Here is a 7,454-nt window from a genome sequence, read left to right as displayed (position 1 = left end):
TCTAATCCAATCTGACTGATGTCCTTATAAGGACGAAATTTGAACACACAAAGAGACATCCGCTATGCATGTGCACAGAAAGGAGACCCCGTGAGGACAGAGTAAGGAGGCACCTATCTGCAAGCCAAGAAAAAAGGCCTCACGACAAATCTAACCTGCTGACACCTTCATCTTGAACCCTCAAACTCCAGAACTGTGAGAAAATCAACTTATGTTACTTAAGCCACCCATTCTGTGGCATTTTGTTGTGGCAGCCCTGTGAACTAATATAGAAGATATTATAAAATATACTTGGAAAGATAATCTGGACTATTCTATAGAACTCCTTAAAGCTGAGATAGAAATTACATATTTGATCTGGTACTAAGTAAGAAACTATCACAAGTTATGAGCACTGGAAATGGACACTCTTTCCAGAACTCAACCATCAGCTGCTGTCTTGAGAGTAAAGATAGGATGGAAAAAGCAAGTAATGTTGAAAAGACTTTTTGAAAATCATTTAGAAAAAGAGGAAGGAAAATGGAAGTAAAGTGGCATAGCACAGTAGAATAGTTCTTTCTAGAGCAGCAGCCAGGAGGTCATGTTCTTATGTAAGCTCTCCGGTCAGGTCCTCAGTGACTTTTAAAAAGGTCCTTGACATTAGGGGGCTGCTGTTTCTTTGTTGGTAGCACAGAAATGTTAATAGTGGTCATCCTCCTTCTACAGGATGCTTGCTGGTTAAATATGAAACTATTGAGAAAGTACTTTAAAAATTACAGAATGTTAGACAGATATTCTACATTTTCTTAATGTTAGAAGAGACCATAAGGCCAAAGAGTCTAATCTCCTTACTTAAAAGTTGTTAGACAAAGGTATGGCATTATTTGTATTGAAGGCAGATAAAAAATGACCCCTCTCCCATGATCTCCAACATTAATAGGTTTTTAAAAAAATTGTTCCGCTTATATATCTGAACAACTTGACAGAATTGAATTGGCATACACTTGGGAGAAAAGTAAGAGGAAGACATTTAATTCAAGCACCGAATAAGACCTGGAAATTCTTTAAATCAAAATTTAGCTATATGTTCTTAGGCAAGTAATTGCATTTGTGTATGTGTGTGTTTGGGGGGGTATGAATCTATATTATATATTGTTAGAAAATATTAGAGAATCTATTTTTAAAGAGCCCAAAAGATTATTAGATAGGTGACAATTATTGGTATTATTACAAATTGTAGTAATAGTGGCAACATTCTTGTCAGGTTAAATCCTAGTGGTGTTTAAGAGCTAAACTGTTACATTTTTACTTGCTCTAATTGTTAGAAAACCTTTTTTATATTCAGTTGAATTTTGCATTCCCTGATTTCTAACCAGAGGCCCTTGTTTTCTTCTTGTCATTTTCATTTTATTTTTCAAAAAATAAGTATCTGTTCTTTTGCAAATAATAGTTCTTTAGTTGTTTGACATCAACCCTCATGTTCCTTTTAATCCTATAATCTTCAGGTAAAGGGTATCAAGTTCATTGTATCAAACCACACATAAAATGAATGGCTATCTCTTCCCTGCACTAGTTGCAGTGTTGTGAATATACTGTAACTCCACAGTTTCTTTAATAAGTAGTATCTGGAACTTAGCATTAAAATTCAGCTGTGGATGGACTACTGCTGAACACTTCTGAGAAATCTTCCAGTCACTAGATCTTCTAATTAGCATTCCTTGTACTGTGTCATTTACAATAGTAGGAGCTCAATAGTTTTAGGTTTTAGTATGGCTTAAATTGACATTTTAGGCTTAAATTAACATTTTAAGTAGCTATTTTCTGTTGCCCACTACCCTTGTATATTCCAGTGAATTCAATCTAAAGTCAAAGATGTTTGCTAAAATCATACAGAAATTATGCCCCATGTATAAGCTATAGATAATGTTGGGTCTTATCAGTCACCTTTTGGTGGTTAATATAAAAATAAAGCCACTTGATAGGCATGACTAAAATTTCAATAATAACATATTATTATATATTAAGTCACTTAGAGGAATGCAAATATTTTCATGTGACAGGCCATGACACTATGTGACTTGCAGCACAGCTGTGAGAAATCAAGTGCTAATCTACATTACATGTGAGTATTTAATACATTTTTAATAGTATAAAAAGTAAAATGATGAGATGATGAGATGTTCACAGTGTGGATGAAAAAGAATGAGGGCAGACCCAAAGCCCAAGGAACACATCTTTCCCACCTTTTCCCACCCTTTCCTCAGCTTCTCAGAGATATCCTAGCTTCACTTCTTCGTATGTGAGGTTGTCAATCAAACTAGGTGTTTTTGGTGTTGAGATGCCACTCAAAATGGACACTGTGCAAGTGAAACTGTCATTCAACATTGCTGCCTGGCAAATGGAGCTGTCAGTCATCTTGAACAGTTTAGTCTGTTGAATTGTCAATAAGATTGTCTGGTATGTACTGATAGCTGCTTCATCAGATTCAAAAAGTCTTCATTAACTCCCTAGTCTGCAGTTTCCCAACCTCTTTTTCTTTTCAATGGAAAGATACGTTTTATTTTCCAAAAGCTGATGATAATCAACAACTAAAACAGAAGGTTATAGTGAAAAGCAAATATCTAGGCTACAAATTGCTAATAAAAATGGACAAGGAACGAGGTTGGCTGCTCACTCAACTTGTCATCATTAAAGGCCAAAAAGAATGGAGTATATATAGTGTATGATAAGCATTATGGATATTAATTTATTCAAGTATTAACTACATAAACCTCAATGACATATTTATTGGGAACCAGTTGATATTTATTTGAAATAAGACATTAGTGAGTTCAGAGCAAATTAAGACTTCAGGAGCTAACATTTTTCAACAGGCTCTGAGTAAAATGCTCTATCCTGCAGTGCCCCAATTTTGCCTCTTCCTCTATCATTCTTGACACAGTTTCACTTATATGATGAAATCATGTTTCCTTTTACCTGCTATGTGGCTACAGGTGATGCTTCCCTCTTAATTCTTAACTTACTGGCTTCACCTGGCCAAAGCTGCTTTAGTTTTAACTCTTTTCCTGTTTAGGAAAAGAAAGTGCATCTCGCTGCCAGTGCTCATTTAATTTTATATAAAAAGGCTTTTTGAGGCTGAAGCAAATCTGACTGATTTTCAATATGAAAATAAAATATAAAAACTGTTCTTGGAGTTGTTCTAAACAGAACTAACATCAGAATCATCTGAATCATCAGGATTGTCTATTTCGGAAAAAGCAGATTCATCAAAGGACTATTTGGCTAACTATTTGAGAACGATGTTAACATGACACGTAGGAATACTATGTTTTCTAGGATTTGACATTTTCAGTGATTGAGAATTACTACATTTTGTAAATGGAAATACCACTACTGAAAACAGAATGCTATAATTAGAATGCTGTCTTTTGTTTTTAAAGTCTATATACTAAAGTGATGCAAAAAATAATAATAAAAATAATAATAAATGATATTTGGTAGCAAAGTTATCTCAGGGTAAACGCTGCAGCTGCAAGCGCCACTAGCAAATAATCTTGGGGCAAACGGGAAAAAGGTTAAAAGATTATGGCAAATGTATTAGATTAGGAGATATCATTTGAATCTATGTCTATGAAATGTCCATTTAAAAATAGTTTAAGCTGACATTAAGTTAATGTATGACTTTCCAGCTACACCTACTAATGGAAAAACAAGATATTAACCTGTAGTTTTAGCAGTAACTAGACTGCATGGAAATTCCCAAGGAAATAAATTCCAGATCCATCTTGGCAGAAAATGCATCTGATTTTTTAGTACTGTGTTAGAAACAGTCACTCTGCTCAACACAGAGTACCTTTGGTAACAGTATTAAATAAAGGAATCTTAGCCAGATTAGGGTGCGCTATAGGAAGCTTCGTTTTAATGATAAGATAACTAGAGACAATATTTCTGGCACAAATAGGCCTAGTATTTGGAATGATAGAGCAACTTCCCTAGATTCTGCGAGCTCAGAGTGACTCAGCCTGGTTCTACACACCCTTCTGATGGCAAGGGCGGGGCACTTGGAGTAGCTGCTGCCATCGGGCTGGCTGCAGCAGGAAGGCACCTGCGGTGGTGGCAGGAGCCGCTGAGGGAGCAACAGTGGCGGCAATGGGATCCTGTGCCCTGCATTTCCAAGGCAGCCAACTGCACCACCCCCAACCTCTCATGGCAGGGCAGGACCAACTCCCAGGCCTGGAGCCTCCACTGGAGCTTCAACCTCGCTCCCTGTGCATCCTGGGAGCCCACGAGCACCCAGTGGAAGGTGCAGCCAGGACTGGCCCCAAGAGCATCAGGTTCATTTGTGCAAGGTTGGCTAGGGCCCTATGCCACCTGCACCTCACCCACTGCCGCTGCAGGGAAAACGCGGAGAGGAGGCGACAGTCCTCAGAGCCTGCCCCTGGGAGACCCCCCGAACCCACTGCCCTGGGAGCCACTGCAGTGGGGCCGAGCCACATGTCCCACCGGCAGGGGAGCAGCGTGGTCCGGCACGGAGGGGGCGGGCAAAGAGGGGCCCCAAGGAGGAGCTGGGCCAGGGGCAGTGCCACGCTCCACAGAGCAGGCAGGAGCAGGGAGCAGGCAGGAGCCCTGCATTCCCAGGTGCAACTACAGCTACCCAAGTCATGGCTGTGGACCCGGGCCTCCCTGTGCTCTTGAGGGCCTGGAGCAGGCATGAGACCTGCGTCCTGGCTGTAGACCCAGGCATCTTTGCACTCTTGGGGCCAGAAGGGACCCCCATTCCCCTGCAGGCCTGGAGGTGTCTGCTTCCGCTGCCTGGCCTCTCCCCATTCCTGGCACCCACTCTGATCTTGGAGCAAATCTGGGGCCAAGGCCAGAAGCTGTGGCAGCCAGGCCAGGTGTGCACATGCTCGGGCAGAGCTAACATGCCAGCCTCCTGCTGCTTCGGCCCCCTCCAGGCTTTGGGCACAGATGAGCATGGGAGGGAAGCTGATGGGGGAGCTGAGGGCAGCTCAGTGCTGGCCTGCAGGTGCCCCTTGTCGTGAACAGCCTGGGTGCCACGAATGGAGGCAGGAAGCAGACAGGCTCCTGGGTGAAAGAGGGCAGGTCCCAGGTGAAGCTCCACCTTCAAGCCGGGGAGGGCCTGAAGCCTGGGGGCTGGGCTGCTGGTCCCACATACCGGAGTGGGAACTTGTGGTGCTTTCTCTGGGCCCGCCGTGGCCGCCCATGGACCAATCAGCATGCACTTCCTCTCCTCTAGACCCATGAAAAGCCCTGGACTCAGCCAGACCAGAAGAGATGATGTGAAGACCCGCCTGCAGAGAGGAGCTACCCTCTCTGCTAAGAGCTGGACACTCATCAGGACACCCTGATTACAAAGAGGAGCTACCCACTGTGGCTCTCCTCTGAGCTGTTCTATCCCTCAATAAAGTTCCTCTTTGTTTTGCTCATCCTCCACTTGTCTGCCTACATCGTTCTTCCTGGATGCAAGACAAGACTTGGGACCAGCCAAATGGCGGGGCTAAAAGAGCAGTAACACCAATAGGGCTGACACACGCCCCTTGCTCACCACGTTACAGGCTAAGGAGAGAAGCACTACAGCCCTTTAACTCCCTAAGCCAGGGCTGTGACTCCCTTTTTGGAGCCCTGCAGTTCCTGGAGCCTCCAAGCTTCCAGGCACCCCTGTGTTCCCTGGTGCCAGCCATGGAAGCTGCTCTCGGTGAGCCTGGTCCAGCCACAGCCTCATAGGGAGCTGGGTCCTGTTCCAGCAGCTGGTGCTGCCCACCCTGTCAGCACTGGCGTGCCTGGCTGTGCGCAGTGGCTAGACCCCATGCTTGCTCACATTCCCCTGGTCACTCTGTGCCTGGCTTTTCCTTGGCAGGCATAGGATCCAGGCCAATAGCATGAGCCAAATGCAGCCTGCCAGGCTGAGTGGGCAGAAGGAGCCCAGAAGGTCAGAGTAAAATTCAGGCAAAGCTGCCACTGGTCACAGAGGTTTCCAGCTGGTGAAGCGACACACCAAGTATTCCATAACACTTCTGTGTTGTCCCACACTGAAACGGTAAACCGTTGCCCTGAATTTTTCACCCATAGCACAATTAAATTCAAGAATGCAGGTCTCCTATGGCATCAGTAAAATTAAGACCCTTACACAGAGCTATTCTAATTCTTTCCAGTAATTCCTCTACCTAGAAATAAATGCAACTCTGCCATTTAAGACCCAACTAGAAGCCTGATGTAGCTGCCTCACCTGATTATGAATACTGCTCACCATCTCTACTTCTGATGAACTACTTTTCCCAGAAAATCGCAACTCTCTGGATATTTGGTAATATACCAATTTTTGACATACTTGGATCCTGGCTAATGAACCCCTACCACTCCCCACAATCCAGTCTCTTTCTTCAGCCCCAGGTTTTCCTCTGCCTTGTTCCTTCTCAGTTGATGCCATTCCTCTTAGAAAATTTCCACTAGAGTACGGCAAACAACTTCTACACTACTTTGTTTTGATCAACTATATAAATAAAATCTTCATTTCAAATAACAAAAACCATAAGAAGTAACCCAAATTTATTCATAGATTTCATGGTATTCCCTTTCCTTTGTTTATGCTTCTTATTTATTTCTCCTAACTACATCTTGTCTTAATTTAACTAAGCTCCCTGAGAGGAAGGTGAAAATAATGTCAGAAAGCATTTTACAGGGAAGAAAGAAGCCTGTGTTCTACTCATAGATCCACCACTAACTTCTTGGCTGGATATCATAAGTTTGCATTAGATACTTTTCATTTCCCTTAACAGTTCTGGAATTTTCTGATTTTATATGAATGACTAGAGAAGACAGGAAATGAGGAAAGTGATTTTTTCCCCTAAGAAATGGGGAATTAGGAAGTATGAAAGGTATAACAAATCCCTGTCTAGCTGATGGTAGTACTGCTCAGTGGTGAGGTTCAGATGAATGACATCATGTCATCACATGCACTGTATGAATAGAATAAACCATGCATTACCTCAGTGTATTGGGATATGCCACTGATTTTGTTGAAGGTAGTTTTGTTTCTGGCTGTACTTTTCTTGATAGCCACCAGGTGGCATACGGATTTGATTTCCTGAAATGTAGACAGGCCTACATCTTGGAAAAAACATGCTGTAGCAGAGCTTTTCCAGGTTCACTCAAACAATAAAGCCTTATTTTAAGAATTACATAGAAAATTCTACTAGCTCAACTATCAGAGAAAATGGGCTAATCTCTGTGATATATTTATATATAAAAACCTGTCAAATATGAGTCATTAATATGCAAGAGCAGAAAAGACATTAGAGCATAGAGAATAAAAAATATAAAAATAAAATGTTAGTGGAAGAGAGACAGAAGGAAGATGACACAAACAGAAAAAGAGAAAAGGAATATAGAAAAAAGGAAGTTGAAGAAAGAATGGAGAAATGTAAGCAAAGAGAAATAAATGTAAGCAAAGAGAA

General features: G+C 42.2%; 1 annotated feature.

Annotated features, from left to right (window-relative positions):
* Positions 5,626 to 6,265: an enhancer, noted in NCBI's record as "H3K4me1 hESC enhancer chr18:41168512-41169151 (GRCh37/hg19 assembly coordinates)". NCBI's record gives its function as "activates a minimal SCP1, AML or CMV promoter by ChIP-STARR-seq in naive H9 embryonic stem cells {active_cell/tissue: H9 hESC(naive)}" and the evidence as "EXISTENCE:reporter gene assay evidence [ECO:0000049][PMID:30033119]".

Source organism: Homo sapiens, chromosome 18 (genome assembly GCF_000001405.40).
Source record: "Homo sapiens chromosome 18, GRCh38.p14 Primary Assembly".
Classification (NCBI taxonomy): Eukaryota; Metazoa; Chordata; class Mammalia; order Primates; family Hominidae; genus Homo; species Homo sapiens.
This window is presented reverse-complemented; position numbering and strand designations above follow the sequence as displayed.